Consider the following 22,151-nt stretch of genomic DNA (forward strand, 5'->3'; position numbering starts at 1 on the left):
AAGGGAAGCTGACCGCTTTCGCGTGCCCTCCCCCAGCCTAACACTGGGAACCTGTGTGGGGCGCCAGAGTCCGGAAGAGAAGTTTTGCGCTCAGCAGGACCGCTGGCGCCAGCGGGAGAACCAGGAAGCGCAGCTCTCCCCTTAGCTGACTCTGGTGCTCTCTACAGGTGGCCTTCACTATCAACTGCACAGCGGGCAGAGGCAGAGGAACACAGAACCTTCTCACACAGCGGGATAAAAGGGTGAATTTGGAGCTGACAGGCAAATATATCTTGTGATATATTTCTCTGGCTTTGATATCAGGGTAATATTGGCCGCATAGAATGAAGTAGTGTTCCTCCGTTATTTTTTGGAAGACATTGCTAAGTACTGGTATTATTTCTTCCTTAAATGTTTGATAGAATTTGCACGCGAAGCCATCTTGGCTTGGCTTGTATTTCTGGGGAGATTTTAAATTACTAATTAAATCTCTTTTCATGCTATAGTCCTAAGTCGATTTTCTACTTATTATTTATTTATTTATTTATTCATTTATTTTGAGACGGAGTTTCACTCTTGTTGTTCGCTCTTGTTGCCCGGGGTGGAGTGCAATGGCATGATCTTGGCTCACCCAACCTCCGCCTCCCGGGTTCAAGTGATTCTCCTGCCTCAGCCTCCCAAATAGCTGGGATTACAGGCATGCGCCACCACGCCCAGCTAATTTTGTATTTGTAGTAGAGACGGAGTTTCTCCATGTTTGTCAGGCTGGTCTCAAACTCCCAACCTCAGGTGATCCGCCCGCCTTGGCCTCCCAAAGTGCTGGGATTACAGGCGTGAGCCACTGCACCCAGCCTGTTTCTTCTTGAGTCGGTAATTTGTCTTCCAAGAATTTTTTCCATTTTACCTAAGTTGTTTAGTTTGTTGGCGTAAAGTTGTTCATAATGTATTCCTTTTAATTTCTGTAAGGTCAGTATTAATAACCCCCCTTTCATTTTTGATTTTGATAATCTGTGTAGTCCTTTCTATTTTTCTTGGTCAGTCAAGCTAAAAGATTGTTAGATTTTTTTTTTCACCTTTTCGGTGAACCAACTTTTGATTTCATTGATTTTTCTGTTTCTTATTTCATTGATTTTCTTCTACTCTAATTTTCATCATTCCCCTCCTTCTGCTTGCTTGTATTAAATACATCAGTTTAAAACTTCAGGAATAACAAAAGATTTGTTTCGCAAAGGAAGATTTGAAATGTTAGACATGTAGAAATGCTTATGATATTGCAAGTAGCAGTCATTTCGACCAGTTAACCAGAAGGAAATTCGGTGTGCTGAAACCAAACAAGTGTTTTTTTGTGCCGGGCTTTTACTGATTTTGAAAATATCAAGTCTAGTTTGTGGGAAGCTGTTTATTGCATGAGCAGTTTATTTTTTTAATGTTTTAATATAGAGAATGCCCATGTTCACTAAATCCCACAAGTTTGTTTGTTTGTTTGTTTGTTTTTTAACTTAAAGGAAAGTATGTATTAACCAGCACATACACTATCCTCTTTGTGCTTTATCTCTGGTAATCCTTATAAGAGCACCATGAGTTAGATACTGTTTTATGCCCTTTTTATGGAAATAGAATCTTAGAGTGTACATTTAAGTAGCTCTCCCAGGTATAACTAGCTGGAAAAGTGACAGAACCTAGGTCTCTCAGATTCCAGAGATTGCACACACGAATACTATATCACACTGCTTACTGCTGTGAGTTCAGCAGAGAATTCCTTGTTTATATGGAAATAACAAAATTGATAGTATCCAGGATAATTGGCAACAGTTTACAAACCCTCTTTACCCCCACTTTGGTGATTTTAAGTGGGGTCATCTGTCCACTAAATTAAACAGATCTTAGGCTGGTCACACTTCTAAAATTGTACACCAAGTTTGTGTGTAAAGGTACTTTCCCAGGGAAAAATATCTGTAGATTTAATCAAATTATCCAAAGAGGGTTAGGCCCACTACCCAGTGTTCCCTGGATGATAAGAGAATGCCATGGAGCCTACACCCTTCCAGTGGGAAGAATAGTGCCAATTTACTTGCCATTTATGTTCTAGTTTTTAATCAGAGTGTTCTAGTCACACACACATAGTTAGCTATGAGGAATATCTGAAGATGCTGGTTCCTCCACTTCAAACGAGTCAGCTAACTCTAGGTGAAGAGCTTTATACTTTGGACTATGTGGTTATAAATGATGGGCAGGTAGGATAACTAGAACAGTGTATATGCTCATTAATACATACTTATCCTTTAAGTCTGAAAAAATGAACTTGTGGAATTCAGTGAAAATTGGCATTCTAAATATTAAAGTATTAATATTTAGAATTATAGATTTTTAGTTGGGATGGTGGTATAAGGAAGGTCAGCCCATTCTCAAACTGGGTTGGAGGCATAAGGGACTTGTTTAACCTAACCTAGTGGTGTGAACCTACAGGAAGTAGTGATGGTGGACTGAGTCATGACTTAGGTAAAGGGAGATGATTCTAGATCATGGAACATGATATAGATTCTAGACATGAGATTCTAAACTCTGGTACCAAGGCACACATTGCTAAGACAATCTGTGATCATGTACTCTCAAGAGGATCATATATTTCAGCTGTATAGCGCCAATTTATGTGCCAGTTACGTTCCAGTTATAAATCAAAGTGTTCTAGTAACACACATAGTTAATTATGAGGACTATCTGCAGATGCAGGCTTCTCCACTTCAAACGAGTCAACCAACTCCACCTGAAGAACTTCATGCTGCTGCCTATGTGTTTACAAATGATGGGCAGGTAAGATAACTCTTTCTATTTCTGCCCTAATTGTGACATTCTTCGTATAATTATTTTCTCATTGGAAAGATGAATATAAACTATATGTGTTAATTCTCTTGATTTAAAAGATAAAATATGACACAGGAAATCTTATGTGAACATAAAATGGGAACTTTTTGATCCAAGAGTGGATTGGTTGTACTAGGAACTGATTTATTTTATTTTATTTTATTTTATTTTATTTATATCTTTTTTTTTTTTTTTGAGATGGAGTTTCACTCTTGTTGCCCAGGCTGGAGTGCAATGGCACGATCTCAGCTCACCGCAACCTCCACTTCCCGGGTTCAAGTGATTCTCCTGCCTTAGCCTTCTGAGTAGCTGGGATTACAGGCATGCGCCACCACACCCAGCTTATTTTTTGTATTTTTAGTAGAGACAGGGTTTCTCCATTTTGGACAGGCTGCTCTCGAACTCCCGACCTCAGGTGATCCGCCCACCTCGCCTCCCAAAGTGCTGGGATTACAGGCATGAGCCACCGCACCTGGCCGAACTGATGTTTTTAATTATCACATTTAATGCTCATAGTTGTTCTGCAGATATGTATTACTATCTACCCTTTAATAAGAAATCAAGGCTGACAGTGGTCAAATGGCTTGCCCCATGTGACACAAGATAGGAGGTAGAGCCAGGGTTTGAACGCATATCTTTCTGACTCCAGAGTCTATATTCTTTCCCACTCCCCACAATAACTCCTTTAATATCGAGATTGCAGTCTACAGTCTCTCTTTCTGTTATCCAAGTCACTAGTGCTCTGCCTAAAAAAATGACTAAGTATTCCTCGTGGAATATGAAGCACTAGGTGATGTTGCCATGATTGGATTGTCCTGATGGAGATCTTAATGTGAGTTTTGTGTTGTGTATGAGAGAGACTTACTAACTTCACCATTAGAACATGAAGACAAAGGAGATTGCATCTGCACTAGGACACAATTAGGCAATAATCTCTTCTGTAACAAAACCAGACTAAAGTTATTCCACCACATTCCCAAAACTCCTCAATTAATTAGGCTTTTCCTTAATTTTCTGTGCCTTTATTTTCTCTTTTTTAACAATAGTCATAAGAATCACACCTCACTCATAGGGATTGGCCAAGGATTGAGTTAATACATGTAAAGCATTGAGAACAGTACCTGGAGGGTAGTAAATGTTCAGTAAAAATGTTTTCACACATTCTCCACTCTGCTTTTATAGGAAATGAAAATGGTTTGGAAAATTTTTTAATCAAAATTATATATTTGAATATAATTTTCATTAAATATGCTCCTGCATATTTAATGCAAGAGCATATTCTTTATTTCTTCAACTTTTACTTTAAGTCCTGGGGTACATGTGCAGGATGTGCAGGTTTATTACATAGGTAAACGTGTGGCATGGTGGCTTACTGCACCTATGAACCCATCACCTTGGTATTAAGCCCAGCACCCAGTAGCTATTTTTCCTGATGCATTCCCTCCCCCAACTCCTCCCCCAACAGGCCCAGTGTGTGTTGCCCTGCCCGACGTGTCCATGTGTTCTCATCATTCAGCTCCCACTTATAAGTGAGAACACGTGCTGTTTGGTTTTCTTTTCTTGCGTTAGTTTCCTGATGATAACGGCTTCTAGCTCCATCCATGTTTCTGCAAAGGACATGATCTCATTCCTTTTTTATTTTTTTTCTTTTTTTTGAGACGGAGTCACGCTCTGTCGCCCAGGCTGGAGTGCAGTGGCATGATCTCGGCTCACTGCAAGCTCCGCCTCCCGGGCTCATGCCATTCTCCTGCCTCAGCCTCCCGAGTAGCTGGTACTGCAAGCGCCCGCCACCACACCTGGCTAATTTTTTTTGTATTTTTAGTAGAGACGGGGTTTCACCGTGTTAGCCAGGATGGTCTCCATCTCCTGACCTCGTGATCCGCCCGCCTTGGCCTCCCAAAGTGCTGGGATTACAGGCGTGAGCCACCGCACCCGGCCGATCTCATTCCTTTTTATGGCTGCATAGTATTCCGTGGTGTATATGTACTACATTTTCTTTATCCAGTCTATCATTGATGGGCATTTGGGTTGATTCCACATCTTTGCTATTGTGAATAGTGCTGCAATGAACATACATGTGCATGTATCTTTATAATAGAATGATTTATATTTCTCTGGGTATATACCCAGTAATGAGATTGCTGGATCAAATGATATTTCTGCCTCTAGATCTTTCAGGAATCACCACACTGTCATCCACATGGTTGAAGTAATTTACACTCCCACCAACAGTGTAAAAGCAGTCCTTTTTCTCCACAGCCTTGCCAGCATCTGTAGTTTTTTGACGTTTTAGTAATCGCCATTCTGACTGGCATGAGATGTTATCTCATTGTGGTTTCGAGTTGCATTTCTCTAATGATCAGTGATGTTGAGCTTTTTTTCATATTTTTGTTGCCCGCGTGAATATCTTCTTTTGAGACGTGTCTGTTCATGTCCTTTGCCCACTTTTTAATGGGGTTGTTTGGTTTTCTTTTGTAAATTTGTTTAAGTTTCTTGTAGACTCTGGATAGTAGACCTTTGTCAGATGGGCAGATTGCAAAAGTTTTCTCCCATTCTGTAGGCTGTCTATTCACTCTGATGATAGTTTATTTTGCTATGCATATGCTCTTTAGTTTAATTAGATCCCATTTGTCAACTTTTGCTTTTGTTGCCATTGCTTTTGGCATTTTTGTCATGAAATCTTTGCCGGTGCCTATGTCCTGAATAGTATTGCCTATTTTTTTTTCTAGGGTTTGTATAGTTTTGTGTTCTACATTTAAGTCTTTAATCCATCTTGAGTAAATTTTTGTATAAGGTGTAAGGAAGGAGCCCAGTTTCAAATTTTGCATACAGCTAGCCAGTTCTCCCAGCACCATTAATTAAATAGGGAATCCTGTCCCCATTGCTTGTTTTTGTCAGGTTTGTCGAAGATCAGATAATTATCACTGTGTGATCTTATTTCCGAGTTCTCTATTCTGTTCCATTGGTCCATGTATCTGTTTTTCTGCCAGCACCATGCTGCTTTGGTTACTGTAGCCCTGTAGTATAGTTTGAAGTTAGGTAGCGTGATGCCTCCAGCTTTGTTCTTATTGCTTAGGATTGTCTTGGCTATTCTGGCTCTTTTTTCGTTCCATATGCATTTTAAAATAGCTCCTTCTAACTTGGTGAAGAATATCAATGATAGTTTAATGGAAATAGCATTGAATTTCTAAATTACTTTGGGCAGTATGGCCATTTTCACAATATTGATTCTTCCTATCCATGAGCATGGAATGTTTTTCCATTCATTTATTTGCTCTCTGATTTCCTTGAGCAGTGGTTTGTAGTTCTCTCTGAAGAGGTCTTTCACTTCCCTTGTTAGCCATATTCCTAGGTAATTTATTCTTTTTGTAGGAATTGTTAATGGGAGTTCATTCATGATTTGTCTCTCTGCTTGCCTGTTTTTGGTGTAGAGGAATGCTAGCAATTTTTGCACATGGATTTTGTATCCCGAGACTTTGCTGAAATTGCTTATCAGCTTAAGAAGCTTTTGGGCTGAGACAACGGGATTTTCTAGATATAGGGTCATGTCATCTGCAAACAAAGGTAATTTGACTTCCTTTCTCCCTTTTTGAATACTCTTTATTTCTTTGCCTTGCCCGATTCCCCTGGACAGAACGTGTAATACTATGTTGAATAGGCGAGGTGAGGGAGGGCATCCTTGTTTTGTGCCAGTTTCAAGGGTAATGCTTCCAGGTTTTTCCCATTCAGTATGATATTGGCTGTGGGTTTGTCATATATGGCTCTTATTATTTTGAGGTATGTTCCTTCAATACCTGGTTTATTGAGAGCTTTTAATATAAGGGGATGTTGAATTTTATCAAAGGCCTTTTCTGCATCTATTGAGATAAGCGTGTGGTTTTTGTCTTTAGTTCTGTTTATGTGATGAATTACATTCATTGATTGGCCTATTCTGAAATGACCTTGCATCCCGGGGATGAAGCCAACTTGATCATGGGGAATAAGCTTTTTGATGTGCTGCTGGATTCAGTTTTCCAGTATTTTATTGAGGATTTTGCATCGATGTTCATCAGGAATACTGGCCTGAAGTTTTTTTTTGTTGTATCTCTGCCAGGTTTTGGTATCAGGGTGATGCTGGTCTCATAAAATGAGTTAGGTAGGAGTCCCTCCTTTTTAATTTTTTGGAATAGTTTCGGTAGTAATATTACCAGCTCTTCTTGGTACCTCTAGTAGGCAGGAACATATTCTTGGGTTATCCTTTGATGAAAACAGCTTTTAGTTAACATACATACTATACCCTTCATTTTCATGTTTTATTTACCACTAACATTGTAAAGCTCGCCCTACCCCTACCTGATTCCAAGATCAACATATCGGAATCTCCATAAGGTTGGAGGTGGGAAAATTTATCTTTTCAATCTATCCTACCCTTCATTATCTATATGTATCATCTAATAAAGTATTAATGATTATTGGTTAATAAGTAACTTTAAAGCACTAAAAGAGGCCGGGTGTGGTGGCTCGCACCTGTAATCCCAGCACTTTGGGAGGCCGAGGTGGGAGGATCAGGAGGTCAGGAGATCAAGACCATCCTGGCTAACACGGTGAAACCCCATCTCTACTAAAAATACAAAATAGCCGGGCGTGGTGGCGGGTGCCTGTAGTCCCAGGAACTCGGGAAGCTGAGGCAGTAGAATGGCGTGACTTGGGGAAGCAGAGCTTGCAGTGAGCCGAGATCATGCAATTGCAATCCAGCCTGGGCGACAGAGCAAGACTCCGTCTAAAAAAAAAAAAAAAAAAAAAAAGCACTAAAAGATAAAAAAGGTATTTCTTTTTTTTTCTCCCCTAACAAGGGCTGAGACAAAATGATGTGTACTTCATGAGAGAGATAACCATATGTTTATACCTTTGGATGATGAAAGCCACTCATTCCCCAAGCATTCTGATTTATCATGACTGTACCATGTTTGACTTTGGATAACACCTTGTATTTTACCTTCCCTTGTTTCACTGAGACTTGACTAAAATTAGCTTGCCTTTTCTGAGAGCATCGTGTATGTTCAGGGATGAGAAATCTTTGACCTGTGACTAAAACTTACATTAATGATATAAATGCATGGCTGTGTATGCATATGAAGACTGTGACTTTGCAGTGGTTGGATTTGTCTTTAATGGAATATGTTCACTGATGTTTTTCAGCAAATGAGGAGTGATGAAGTAAATCTGGTTGCAACAGGGCATCAAAGCAAAAAGAAACATTCCAGAAAATCCAAGAGACACTCTTCATCTAAGAGAAGGAAGAGTATGTCCTCGTGGTTAGACAAACAGGAAGGTGAGGGGGAATCCAATCTTTGGGCCTCAACCATGTCAAAGGACATTTGTAGTCATGTCCTTGAGGGATGAACAGATATGAGCACATTTGCAAGTGGAAGGGCAAGGTTCTAATTAGGTGCAACAATTTGGAGTTGTTGCAAGCGTTAGATGAATGAAGCAGGTTCCTGAGGCAGAAGGAGATGGTGGGCTCAACAAGAGGATGGGTCTGCTCACTTTCTGCCTGTCCTCACATTCCGCTCTAACCCAGTGTGGTCTGGCTTCTTAGTGTACTCCAATGAAACTACTATCATCAAGGTCACCAGTGTTTGCTACACTTTGGCGTTAATGTCTCAGCAGCATGCGACACAGTTGTTTACTCCCTCCTGCACGGAAAGCTTCTTGGGTCCCCAGACACCTGGATTTCTTACCCTGTTACTAGAGACTCATTTTCCTTCTCTTTTTTGTTTTTCTCCTCTCCCTTCCCACCTCTAAATATTTCGGAACCCCAAAGCTTAATCCTAGACTCTCTTCTCTTCAGTATACTATCTATTTAGGCGATGCCGTGCTGTCTTAGAATTTTAAATGATTCACACTATAAGAACTCTCACCATTATACTTCTACACTACAACTTGCTCCTGAAATCCAGACTCAAATACGACTACACTCGCGGTATCTTTACTGGGTGTCTAATAGGCATGTAAAATTCAACTGACTCTACATGCTCAAATTTCTGACCTCCCTCTCTCCAAAAATACTCTACTTTTAGCTTTCACTATTTCAATTAAAGATACTGTCCATTAGGTGAAACATCCACAAAGGTGTAACAACCAGCTGTTCACAGGTATGGGGGATTGAGGAATCCTGGTTTTTACAGTTTGCAGCTATCCATCGGGCAAATAATCCCACCATGGCCTAGTTCAAGCTGTCAACATAAGGTCACTGAACCAGATTCAGGAAGAGTTGGCAGCACTCAGCTCTCATGGTCGGTTGCCTAACACCTCCTGAACACCCCTGGTGTACTTTTACTTAGTAGTTCTAGTCAAAATACTTAAAGTCACTTATGAGTTATCTCATGATTCTTTTATTACTCTCTCATTTCCCATTTCTTAGCAAGTCCAGCAGTAGATGCCCAGTATAAATTCTGCATCCAACCATTTCTCTCTATGCCTCCAGTGCATGCTGCCGTGATCTGTCTCCAGGCTAGTACAATGCCTTCTTAGCTCTGTGTTTCTAATCTTCGCTCATCTATCGCATACTCTCTAACCCTGTGGCTAGATAATTATTTCAGCACGTAAATCACATCATGCCATGTCCCTCCTGAAAACCCATCCTCATCTCTCCTAAGCACTCAGAACAGACCCTGAACCGGCTTTGGTCTCCAAGCCTCTGCACAGCCTGGCCTCTGTCACCCTCTCCTAACATGGGTCCCATCCATTTCCTCCTGGCTCTCTCTGCCTCTGACCTTCACCTCTGTAGTGCCCGGTCCATCCCCACTCCATTCCCTACCCTTGGCCTCACTGCAGCCTGGAACTCTCCCTCTGCCTCTGCACAGGAGGCTCTGCTTCTTTCTCCAAGCCCTGCCCAATGGCACTTCTTCAGAAGCCTCTGCCAAACCAGCTGCAGCCCCAGGGGCTCCCTCTGCTGCTGTCTCCCACAGGCCTGTGGACTGCTTTTCCAACACCAGCCCAATGCTGCTTGTTTCATTTGCTCATTGTGCATGTACTGTCTGACTGCCCCATGAGGATGTGAGCTCCACAAGGGCAGGGAACGTTGCTCCCTGGGCTGTTTACTGCTGATCCCTGGGTCCTGGCATGCTGCCTGCCACAGATGATGAATAAATGAAAGAGGCGTCAGACCTGGAGTGAAAAGAAAGTCACTTTTTCTAGATAAAAGGGAAGGATCTGTAGAATCATATAAAAATACAGATGTGTGATGATGGAGTGGTGATAAGAGTGTTCAACTCCAATAGCCACGTGTATTTTCTCAGAGTATTTGGGGTAGAAAGGAGGCAGGTTAAGGAGGGCTCACTTAGTCTGGCTTCCTGCTGTGCACAGCATGGCATTTATAGGTGAACTATACAAATAATATCAAGTGAGAATTATCATCTTGCTGCCTATCAAGGGCAGCAAGATGATACAAAATGACGAATACAAAAACCTGTGAATGTTTATTCTGCTGTCGTACTTCTTTACTGCATATATTCATTATGCCAAGAGGTAAAAAGGTAGTTTTATTGTATTATCTGACCTGATCTCTGTCACAAGATCTGAGATTTCCACGTGGTAAATCCTTCTGTTTCATGAAATAAATAATTCTTTAGAACCTGATTAATACACAGCTGTCCCTCTGGGGGAGGATGGGACAAAACACACCTATCTTGCAGCTCAACCTCTTCATTTGGTTTCCAGCTGCTAGCATCACTCACAATGTCCATGAAGAGAAGGTAAAAAATGGCCAATCTGCACACAATAATGTCATTGCAACTGTTCCATCAGTGCTTATTAGTATGGCAGCAGCTGGTATTTCATCCATGAGTACCAGGGACCAGTGTAAATTTGCTCACTTGTTATACTGTCCTACGAGGATTCCACTACGCACCATATATGCATAGTGTCGTGAGGGAAGAAGGTAATTTTGTTGTATTATCTTTTCTGGCCTCAATTTTAGGGTTCTCAGATTGCTACCTGGTATATCCTTCTTCTTTATGAGATAATTTCCTAGATACTGAGCATCAGTGGGGCATGCCTGTGCCATTGACATAATGCACTTACCTCACAGCTCAACCACTTCATTTGGTTTCCAGATGCTGCAGTCACTCACAGCATTTGTGAAGAGAGGATAAATAACGGCCAACCAGTAGCTGATAATGTCTTGTCAACTGCTCCACCATGGCCTGGTAATATGGCAGCAGCAGGAATTTCATCCATGAGTATGAAATTCATCCATGAGTACTTATTAATTGTACTGTCCTACTTGGTTTCCATAAGCAGGCATATTTTCATGAATTATAGAAGGTGGTTTTGTTGTATATTCTTTCTTAGCCTCAATTTGAGGGGTATCAGATGGCCAGCTGGCATATCCTCCCCTGCTTTTTTAGATAATTTCCTAGAAATTGAACACAGAGGAATATACCTGTGGGGTTGACATAATGCACTTACCTCACAGCTCAACCTCTTCACTTGGTTTCCACACGCTACTGTCAATCACAGTGTCCATGAGGAGGGGATGGAAAATGGTCAACCCCAACGAGATAATGTCATGTCAAATGTTCTATCAGGGCTTATTAATATGACAGGAGCTGGTATTCCAGCGATGAGTACCAGGGATCTGTGTGTGTTTGTTTATTAGTTGTAGTGTCCTCCTTGGTTTCCATGTGCATGCATAATGTCATGAAGGGAAGAAGGTGGTTTTGTTGAATTATCTTTCGTGACCTCAACTTAAGTGGACTCAAATCATTATATGATGTATTCTCCTGCATTAGGGGATAATTTCCTAGAAACCGAGCATCAGTGGGATATACTGGTTCAATTGTCATAATGCACATACCTCACAACTCAACCTGTTCCATCGGTTTCCAGATGCTACCATCGCTCACAATATCCGTGAAGAGAGGATGGAAAATGGCCAATCTCGAACTGACAAAGTCTTGTCAACTGCTCCACCACAGCTTGTTCATATGGCTGCAGCTGGTATTCCATCCATGAGTACCAGGGATCTGCGTATGTCTGCTAATTAGTTGTACTGTCATACTTGTTTTCCATAAGCATGGATATTTTCATGAAAGGTAGAAGTCACTTTTGTTGCATATACTTTCCTAGTCTCAATTTGAGGGGTCTCAGATGGCCACCTGGCAAATCCTCCCCTGATTTCCTAGATAATTTCCTAGAAACTGAGCATCAGAGGGATATACCTGTTGGGCTGACATAGTGGACTTACCTCACAGTTCAAACTCTTCGTTTGTTTTCCAGATTCAACTGTTACTCACATTATCTGTGAAGAGAAGATAAAAAATGAACAAATGGCACCTGATAAATTCTTGTCTACTATTACAGCGGGGCTTATGAATTTCACAGGGGCTGATATTCCACCCCTGAGTACCAGGGATCAGTGTGTGTTTACTAGTTGTACTGACCTACTTGCTTTTCGTACGCATGCAGTGTCATGCAGGGAAGAAGGTGGTTTCGTTTTATTATCTTTTCTGGCCTAAAATTCAGGGGTCTCAAATCACCACCTGATATGTCCTCCTGGTTTATGGGATAATTTCCTAGAAACTGAGCATCAGAGGGATATACCTGTGGCACTGACGTAATGCACTTACCTCACAGCTTGAACTCTTCATTTGGTTTCCAGATTCTACCGTCACTCACAATATCCGTGAAGAGAGAATGGAAAATGGCCAACCCCAACCTGATAACGTCTTGTCAACTGGTCCCACAGGGCTTATTAATATGGCAGCAACTCCTATTCCAGCCATGAGTGCCAGAGATCTCTGTATGTCCACTTATAAATTGTGCTGTCTTACTTGGTTTTCATATGCATACATAGTGCCATGAAGGGAGTTAGGTGGTTTTGTTGTGTTATCGTTTCTGGCCTAAATCTGAGGGGTCTCACATCACCACCTGATATATCCTACTGCTTTATGAAATAATTTCATAGAAACTGAGCACCAGAGGGATATACTTGTGAGTTGGCATAATGCACTTACCTCACAGCTCAACCTCTTCCTTTGGTTTCCAGATGCTACAGTCACTCACAATGTCTGTGAACAGAAGATGGAAAATGTCCAACCAGCACCTGATAACGTGTTGTTGACTCTTCGACCACGGCGTATTAATATGACAGACACTGGTATTTCACCCATGAGTACCAGGGATCCATGTAAGTTTGTTTATTTGTATTACTGTCCTACTTGGTTTCCATATGCATGCATAGTGTCAAAAAGCATACAAGGTGGTTTTGTTGTATTGTCGTTCCTGGTATTTCACCCATGAGTACCAGGGATCCATGTAAGTTTGTTTATTTGTATTACTGTCCTACTTGGTTTCCATATGCATGCATAGTGTCAAAAAGCATACAAGGTGGTTTTGTTGTATTGTCTTTCCTGGCCTCAATTTCAGGGGTCTCGTATGGCAACCTGGTATATCCTCCTGTTTATGAGATAATTTCCTAGAAACTGAGCATCAGAGGGATATACCTGTGGGGTTACCATAATACACTTACCTAACAGCTCAGCCTCTTCATTTGGTTTCCAGATGCTACCATCACTTACAATGTCCCTGAGGAGAAGATGGAAAAGGGCCAACCCCAACCTGATAACATCTTGTCAACTGCTTCAACAGGGCTTATTAATGTGGCAGGAGCTGGTACTCCAGCCATCAGCACCAATGGCCTGTGTATGTTTGCTTGTTAATTGGATTATCCTGCTTGGTTTCCATATACGTGCATATTGTCATGAAGGGGAGATGGAGGTTTTGTTGTATCATCTATCTTGAGCTCAATTTGAGGGGTCTCAGATCACCACCTGTCATGTCCTCCTGCTTTATGCAATAATTTCTTAGAAGCTGAGCATCATAGGGGTATACCTGTGGGGCTGACATAATGCACTTACTCACAGCTCAACCTCTTCATTTGTTTTCCAGATTCCACCGTCCCTCACAATGTCTGTGAAGAGAAGATGGAAAATGACCAACCGCAACCTAATAACGTATTGTCAACTGTTCAACCAGTGATTATTTATTTGACAGCAACTGGTATTCCGGGCATGAATACCAGGGATCAGTGTATGTTTGTTTACTAGTTGTAGTGTCCTAGTTGGTTTACATATGAATGCACAGTGTCATAAAGGGAAGGAGGTTGTTTTATTGGATTCTCTTTCATGAGCTCAATCTGAGGTGTCTCAGATCATCACTTGCTGTATCCTCCTGCTTTATGAGTTAATTTCCTAGACCCTGAGCATCAGAGGGATATACCTGTAGGGCTGACATAATACACTTAGCTCAGAGCTCAAGCTTTTCATTTGGTTTCCAGATGCTACCATCACTCACAATGTCTGTGAAGAGAGAGTGGTAAATAACCAACCACTACCTAGTAACGCCTTGTCAACTGTTCTACCAGGGCTTGCTTATTTGGCAACAGCTGATATGCCAGCCATGAGTACCAGGGATCAGCGTAAGTTTGTTTACTAGTTGTGGTGTCCTACTTGGTTTCCATATGCATGCATATTGTCATCAAGGGAAGAAGACGGTATTGTTGTATTATGTTTTCTGGCCTCAATTTTAGGGTTTTCAATTGCTCCCTGGTATATCCTAGTTCCTTAGGAGATAAATTCCTAGATAGTGAGCATCAGAGGGGGTATTCCTGTGGGATTGACATACTGCACTTACCTCACAGCTCATCAACTACATTTGGTTTCCAGATGCTACCATCATTCACAATCTGCGTGAAGAGAAGAAAGATAACAGCCAACCAACCCCTGATAACGTCTTGTCAGCTGTTACACCAGAGCTTATTAACTTGGCAGGAGCTGGTATTCCACCCATGAGTACCAGGGATCAGTGTATGTTTGCTTACTAGTTGTACTATCCTACTTGGTTTCCATATGAATGCAGTATCATAAATGGAAGAATGTGGTTTTATTATATTGTCTTTCGTGAGTTGAATTTGTGGGGTCTCAGATCGCTGCCTGGTATATCCTCCTGCTTTATGTGATAAATTCCTAGAAACTGAGCATCAGAGGGATATATACATGTGTGCTTGGCATAATGCACTTAACTCACAGCTCGACCTCTTTATTTGGTTTCTAGATGCTACCGTCAATCACCATGTCCATGAAGCAAGGATGGAAAATGGCCAACGAAAACAGGATAACGTCTTGTCAAATGTTCTATCCGGGCTTATTAATATGGCAGGAGCTAGTATTCCAGCAATGAGTTCCAGGGATCTGTGTATGTGTGTTTTTTAGTTATACCATCCTCCTTGATTTCCATATGCATGCATAGTGTCATGAAGGGAAGAAGGTTGTTTTGTGAATTATCTTTCCTGGCCTCAATTTGAGGGGCCTCAGATCATCATATGATGTATTATCCTGCTTTATGGGATAATTTTCTAAAAATTCATCATCAGTGGGATATATCGGTGGGGTTGACATAATGCACGTACCTCACAGCTTGACCTCTCCCTTTGGTTTCCAGATGCTACCATTACTCACAGTGTTCGTGAAGAGAAGATGGAAAGTGGCAAACCCCAAACTGATAAGGTCATATCAAATGATGCACCACAGCTTGGTCATATGGCTGCAGGTGGTATTCCATCCATGAGTACCAAGGATCTGTGTATGTCTGTTAATTAGTTGTACTGTCATACTTGGTTTACATATGCATGCATATTTTCATGAAGGGTAGATGTGGTTTTGTAGTATATTCTTTCCTAACCTCAATTTGAGGGATCTCAGTTGTCCACATGGCATATCCTCCCCAGCTTTCTTAGATAATTTCCTAGAAACTGGGTATCAGAGGAATATATCTGCAGGGCTGACATAATGCACTTACCTCACAGCTCAACCTCTTCATGTGGTTTCCAGATTTTACCATCACTCACAATGACTGTGAAGAAAAGATTAAAAATTAGCAAAGAGCACCTGATACATTATTGTCAACTGTTACAGCAGGGCTTATGAATGTCACAGGGGCTGGTATTCCACCCCTGAGTACCAGGGATCAGTGTATGTTTGTTTACTAGTCGTACTGTCCTACTTGACTTCCATACGCATGCAGTGTCATGCAGGGAAGAAGGTGGTTTTTTTGCATTATCGTTTCTGGACTAAATTTGAGGGGTCTCAGATCACCACCTGTTATAGCCTCCTGTGTTATGGAACAATTTCTTACAAACTGAACATCAGAGGGATATACCTGTGGTATTGACATAATGCACTTACGTCACAAGTCAACCTCTTTATTTGGTTTCCAGATGCTACCGTCACTCAAAATGTCCATGAAGAGAGGATGGAAAATAACCAACCACAACCTAGTTATGACTTGTCAACTGTTCTACCAGGACTTACTTATTTGACAGTAGCTGGTATTCCGGCCATGAGTACCAGGGATCAGTGTATGTTTGCTTATTCAGTTGTACTGTCCTACTTGGTTTTCATATGCATGCCTAGTGTCATGAATAGGAGAAGGTGGTTTTGTTGTATTATCTTTCATGAGTTCAATTTGAGTGTTCTCAGATCGCCATCTGGCATATCCTCTCCGGCTTTATGATATACTTTTCTAGAAGCTGAGCATCAGGAAGATATACCTGTGGGGTTGACATAATGCACTTAACTCAAAACTTAACCTCTTTATTTCTGTTCCAGATGCTACCGTCACTCACAATGTCCATGAAGAGAAGATTAAAAATGGCCAAGCAGCATCCGATAATGTCTTCTCGACTGTTCCACCAGCATTTATTAATATGGCAGCAACTGGTGTTTCATCCATGAGTACCAGGGATCAGTGTAAGTTTATTCACTTGTTGTACTGTCATACTTGGTTTCCATATGCATGCATAGTGTCATGAGGGAAGAATGTAGTTTTGTTGTATTACCTTTTCAGGCCTCAATTTTAGGGTTCTCAGATTGCTACCTGGTATATCCTCCTTCTTAATGAGATAATTTCCTAGATACTGAGCATCAGAGGGGTATGCCTGTGCGGTTGACATAATGCACTTACCTCACGCCCAACCTCTTCTTTTGTTTCCAGATGCTGCAGTCACTCACAACATCCGTGAAGAGAAGATAAATAACAGCCAACCAGCACCTGGTAACATCTTGTCAACTGCTCCTCCATGGCTTCGTCATATGGCAGCAGCTGGAATTTCATCCACGATTACCAGGGATCTGTGTATGTCTGCTTATTAGTTGTGCTGTCCTACTTGGTTTCCCTAAGCAGGCATATTTTCATGAATGGTAGAAGGTAATTTTGTTGTATATTCTTTCCTAGCCTCAGTTTGAGGGGTATCATATGTCCACCTGGCATATCCTTGCCTTCTTTTATTGATAACTTCCTAGAAACTGAGCATCTGAGAGATATACCTATGGGGTTGACATAATGCACTTACCTCACGGCTCAATCTCTTCATTTGGTTTCCAAATGCAACCGTTACTCACCATGTCCGTGGAGAGAAGATAAAAAACGGCCAACCAGCATCTCATAACTTCTTGTTAACCCTTCCATCAGGGCTTATTAATATAGCAGGAGCTAACATCCCAGCCATGAGTACCAGGGATCTGTGTATGTTTTCTTATAAGTTGTACTTTCCTACTTGATTTCCATATGCATGCATAGTGTCATCAAGGGAAGAAGGTGGTTTTGCGGTATTACTTTTGCTTGCCTCAATTTCAGGGTCTCTGATTGCCACCTGGTATATCCTCCTGCTGTATGGGATAACGTCCTGGAAACTGAGCATCAGCAGGATATCCCTGTGGGGTTGTCATTATGCACTTACTTCACAGCTCAGCCTCTTCATTTTGTTTCCAGATGTCACCGCCACTCACAGTGTCCATGAGGAGAAGATGACAAATGGCCAACAGGCACCTGATAACTCCTTGTCAACGGTTCCACCTGGTTGTATTAATCTGTCAGGAGCTGGTATTTCATGCAGAAGTACCAGGGATCTGTGTATGTTTGTGTATTGGTTGTACTGTCCTACTTGGTTTCCATATGCATGCATAGTGTCCTGCAGGGAAGAAGGTGGTTTTGTTGTATTATCTTACTCAAACTTAGTTTGAGGGGTCTTGGATCACCACCTGGTGTATCCTCTTGCTTCATGAGATAACTCCCTAGAAACTGGGCATCGGAGGGATATACTGTGGGGGTGACATAATGCACTTATCTCACAGCTCAATTTTTTCATTTGGATTCCAGATGCTACTGTCATTCACGATATCCAGGAGGAGGAGATGGAAAATGATCAAACCCCTCCTGATGGCTTCCTGTCAAATTCTGATTCACCAGAGCTGATAAATATGACAGGACATTGTATGCCACCCAATGCATTGGATTCTTTCTCTCACGACTTCACAAGTCTCAGCAAAGATGAGCTGCTTTACAAACCTGATAGTAATGAATTTGCGGTAGGCACCAAAAACTACAGTGTCTCTGCAGGTGACCCACCAGTTACAGTAATGTCTTTGGTGGAAACTGTGCCAAATACACCACAAATATCTCCTGCCATGGCAAAGAAAATTAATGATGATATAAAATATCAATTAATGAAAGAAGTTCGAAGGTTTGGGCAAAGTAAGTACTGCAAGAATGTCTATCAATGAAAGCATGAGAAGTGTCTCATTCTATGATTTAGAACAGAATTGAGCTGCCTCTTGAGCTCATTGTTTGGCTGAATTGGATCTATATATAATTTAGCATGGCTTTACTTTAATTTCACTGAAAATTGCTAATATGTCTGCTTAAGTGTTTTGTTTTCCTTTGTTAGTGTTCACAATAGTTTCCTTAGTAATATACAGATGTCGTGATTTAAGCATTCAAAACAAGCACTATGTAACATTGTAGCCCATGAAAAATGTATACTGTGGTAGTGGATGCACTAAGATTGAGGTATATTTCATTTTTGTAATTGTAGAAATACTAATTTTTAAAATATCTTCAGATTATGAAAGAATTTTCATTTTGCTTGAAGAGGTACAAGGATCTATGAAAGTCAAGAGACAATTTGTTGAATTTACCATCAAGGAAGCAGCAAGGTGAGTGCAAAAAGGAACTGTGCTATTGTTTTAAGCACTTGCGCCCAATTTGGGACAGGGGCAGGAAAAAATCATGGTTTGTTCCTCCTAATCCCTGGCCCTCAATCATAGTTCATGCTATTTCCACAGGCATTTAGGTTGATACTATCTTATTCTAACACTTTCTTCCAATACCATGGAGGCTTCCAAATTTATCAAAATCTGGGAGTGTATGTGGGCCCTCAGTTGACTCACTTTGTATTTTTCTAGTTTGTATCTTTCAATGAGGATGCATTTTCTGTTTGCATGTAGATGGTAAATTCTATTTTGTATCCACTCTACCTCTTACATCTCATAGATCCTGTAGGTATCCTCTGGTGAATGGAATACCTCTTTAATTTCAGGTTTAAAAAAGTTGTCTTAATTCAGCAACTCGAGAAGGCGCTTAAAGAAATAGATTCCCACTGCCATCTCAGAAAAGTTAAGCACATGAGAAAAAGATAATTGTGTTAGTGCAAAGACCAAGGAGAAACAAGGACATATGCTGTAGGATGGAACAGGTTATTGCTGAAGCTCCCTATAATCCTGAAATGAAGAGAATTCCCTTCCAGAAGCTACGAAAAAGGGAGCTGTTTAAATTTAATAAATCTCTGTTAGTAAAAGCTGCACTTTTCTTGTTTGTTGGTTTCTTCTTCCACCTGAGGAGGGATATGAGTTAATAACTCACCAAGATATTTAGTATTACAGTCCTGGTTTCTGCAGCACCTCACATTGCTGTAGCTGGTACTTATAACTGCCTTCTTTCACTACCCATTTCTCATTCCCTTTGCCCTGAGATAGTATGTCAGCCAGTCATGGTGCTTGGCCTCGCAGGTTGACTCAAACCTTCATTACTGAACATTCTGGACCATTCGATATCCTGCCTGGATTGGGTTGCTGTAATTTTCCATTAAGTGTAATCAAAAAACATGGGAGGGGCCAGGCGCAGTGGCCCCTGCCTGTAATGCCAGCACTTTGGGAGACTGAGGCAGGCAAATCACAAGGTCAGGAGTTCGGGACCAGCCTGGCCAGCATGGTGAAACCCCGTCTCTACTAAAAAAAACCAAAAAATTAGCCGGGCATGGTGGCCCGCGGCTGTAATCCCAGCTACTCAGGAGGCTGAGGCAGGAGAATTGCTTGAACCTGGGAGGTGGAGGTTGCAGTGAGCTGAGATCACGCCACTGCACTCCAGCCTGGGCAACAGAGTGAGACTTCATCTCAAAACAAACAAACAAACAAACAAAATGGGAGGTCTAAGCAGCTCTCTAGACATATCAGACATACTCTTTTTTAGCCCCTGGTGTAGTGCAATTAATCCCCCTTTCATCATCAGGTTCATCACCCCCAGCCACTAGATGACCCCCTCCTTTGATTCTGGATGGAAATTGATGAAGACACCAAAATGGCCAGCTGGCAGTATCAATCTGTTCTCAATAGAATCACTGTTGTGTCGCTTGGTGAAAGCATTTCTTCCTTTGGAACTAAGACTTCTAGTTCAGCAGAGCCTAAAGTCAGAAGGATAAGAAGCATTTTTGCTAGTCGATCACTGGGGTGAATAGTGAATAGAGACACTCCCAGTTTTACTTCTTGATTCTAGGACCCATGAATCCTAACTATGGGAGAGAAAGCAAAGTATGCTGGATGCAGATATACTGCAAACACTGCTTCCTAAAAGTAATTTCTCTGACCTGCAAGGTATTGCCACCTAGCTAGCACTGTAACTGAGTTCCACAAGGCCATTCCACTGTTCTGTTGATCCAGTCATTTTAAGATAATGGGGGGCACTTTGGGAGGCTGATGTGGAGTCACAGACCAAGTGGGCAAGACACTACCATCTCTTGAAAAAATGATGGGGGATATGGGGATATACGTAATAAGAACAGTGAATTTCTATGAGCATGGGCCCATCACTGCACTTTTTATATTCTGTGAAGTGAGGGCCTTTTTTCGAGGTGATGCTGTGTGGAATACCATGATGGTAAATAAGGCATTTTTCTAAGTGCACAAATGTTGCTTTTCTCAAAGTACTGTGGGTGGGAAGGAAGATCCATAATCAAAGTAAGTGTCTATTTGAGGAAGAACACAGCCCTGTCCCTTCCATAGTGGAAGTGGTCCAGTGTAATCACCTGCCATCTGGTAGCTGGCTGATAACTCTGCAGGCAGGTGTCATATAAGAGGCTCAGTGTTGCTCTCTGTTTCTGGCAGATTGTACACTCAGCAATGACTATGTTGCAGAATTTTGCTTCTTAGATAAGCTAAAACCAAGTTCTTGTCACACGACCAGGAAAGATTAGGTTCGCGGATGCATTGAAGGGTGAGGAGCGGAATTTATTGGTTGAAAAGAAAAAATAGGAAGGAAAAAAACTCGGCAAAGCGAGAGGGAGTCCTGCTAACAGGACCCCATCTCACATATTGATTCTGGGCCACCACACAGGAACCGAAGAGACCAGGCTCCCCACCGCCACCCTTGCACAAGGTGCAAACTTCCCGTGGCTCCACATCCTTCCCCCAGTACATGTCGCCATTATTAAGAAAGAATCAGTTGGGAAAGGGCGAGCAAACAGTGACGGTTCTCCCTCTGGATCGCAGGTTACATTCGGGACCAGCAGTCTGGTTTTTCAACCTTCAGGCCATTTTAGGCTTGAAGGCAGGTTTCTCCAGGAATCCTTTGCTGTCTCATGTCTTTATTAACTGTAGCCAGGTTGGCCCTGGTGAGTGGAAGTCCATGCTACTGAAGCATAATCTCTATCCCTGGTCACCTTAGCCACTTTGTGAACCCATGAGGTTGTGACACAAGTGTTGGGGAAAGAGGCTGATTAATATCTAGATAATAGGTAACTTATCCTTCAGATTATTAAAATTCTTCTCTGCTGAGGTTACCCTTTGCTGAGAACTCTCATGAGACCCAAATATCTCATAGGCCTGGCCATCTCTCCTCCACACAGGAGCACTGCTCAAAGTTCTTCCCCCTGAGAGAATTTCCCTTCACCACTGTCCTTCAGGACTATGCAGCTGTCCACTTTTGGCTTTTGTGGCAGGCAGGCATTGTGGACCGACTGAATATTTGTGTCCTCTGAGAAGTCATACGATGAAACCCTGACTCCCAATGGGATGATATTTGGAGGTGGAGCCTTTGGGAAGTAATTAGGTTTAGATGTGGTCATGATATTTGGGTCCCTATGATGAGATTAGTGCCCTTATAATTAAAGAAAAGAGAATTTGTTCTTCCATGCTTCTTCAACATGTGAGGATACAGCA

General features: G+C 41.7%; 1 protein-coding gene across 9 annotated transcripts, besides 1 other annotated feature; it reads left to right on the forward strand.

Annotated features, from left to right (window-relative positions):
• Positions 177–19,523, forward strand: SAGE1 (sarcoma antigen 1). Of its 9 annotated transcripts, none has more exons than XM_017029622.2 (20): positions 177–304; positions 2,704–2,790; positions 8,020–8,152; positions 10,938–11,030; positions 11,713–11,853; positions 12,485–12,625; positions 12,872–13,012; positions 13,387–13,527; positions 13,774–13,914; positions 14,162–14,302; positions 14,550–14,690; positions 14,938–15,078; positions 15,325–15,465; positions 16,100–16,240; positions 16,491–16,631; positions 16,876–17,016; positions 17,653–17,793; positions 18,040–18,414; positions 18,782–18,875; positions 19,259–19,523. In XM_017029622.2, exons 2-20 carry the CDS (start codon positions 2,704–2,706, stop codon positions 19,356–19,358), a joined length of 2,715 nt encoding a protein of 904 aa, XP_016885111.1. In that variant the 5' UTR covers positions 177–304; the 3' UTR covers positions 19,359–19,523. The 9 variants fall into 9 exon arrangements, 8 of the variants coding, with proteins under 8 accessions (XP_016885111.1, NP_061136.2, NP_001368831.1 ...); NM_018666.3 differs by having other exon boundaries at positions 177–261; NM_001381902.1 differs by having other exon boundaries at positions 177–242.
• Positions 11,337–12,536: an enhancer, noted in NCBI's record as "CDK7 strongly-dependent group 2 enhancer chrX:134987035-134988234 (GRCh37/hg19 assembly coordinates)". NCBI's record gives its function as "activates an origin of replication core promoter dependent on BRD2, BRD4, P300/CBP, MED14 and CDK7 cofactors, with strong dependence on CDK7, by STARR-seq in HCT116 cells {active_cell/tissue: HCT116}" and the evidence as "EXISTENCE:reporter gene assay evidence [ECO:0000049][PMID:35650434]".

The sequence above is a fragment of the Homo sapiens genome, chromosome X (assembly GCF_000001405.40).
Source record: "Homo sapiens chromosome X, GRCh38.p14 Primary Assembly".
NCBI lineage: Eukaryota > Metazoa > Chordata > Mammalia > Primates > Hominidae > Homo > Homo sapiens.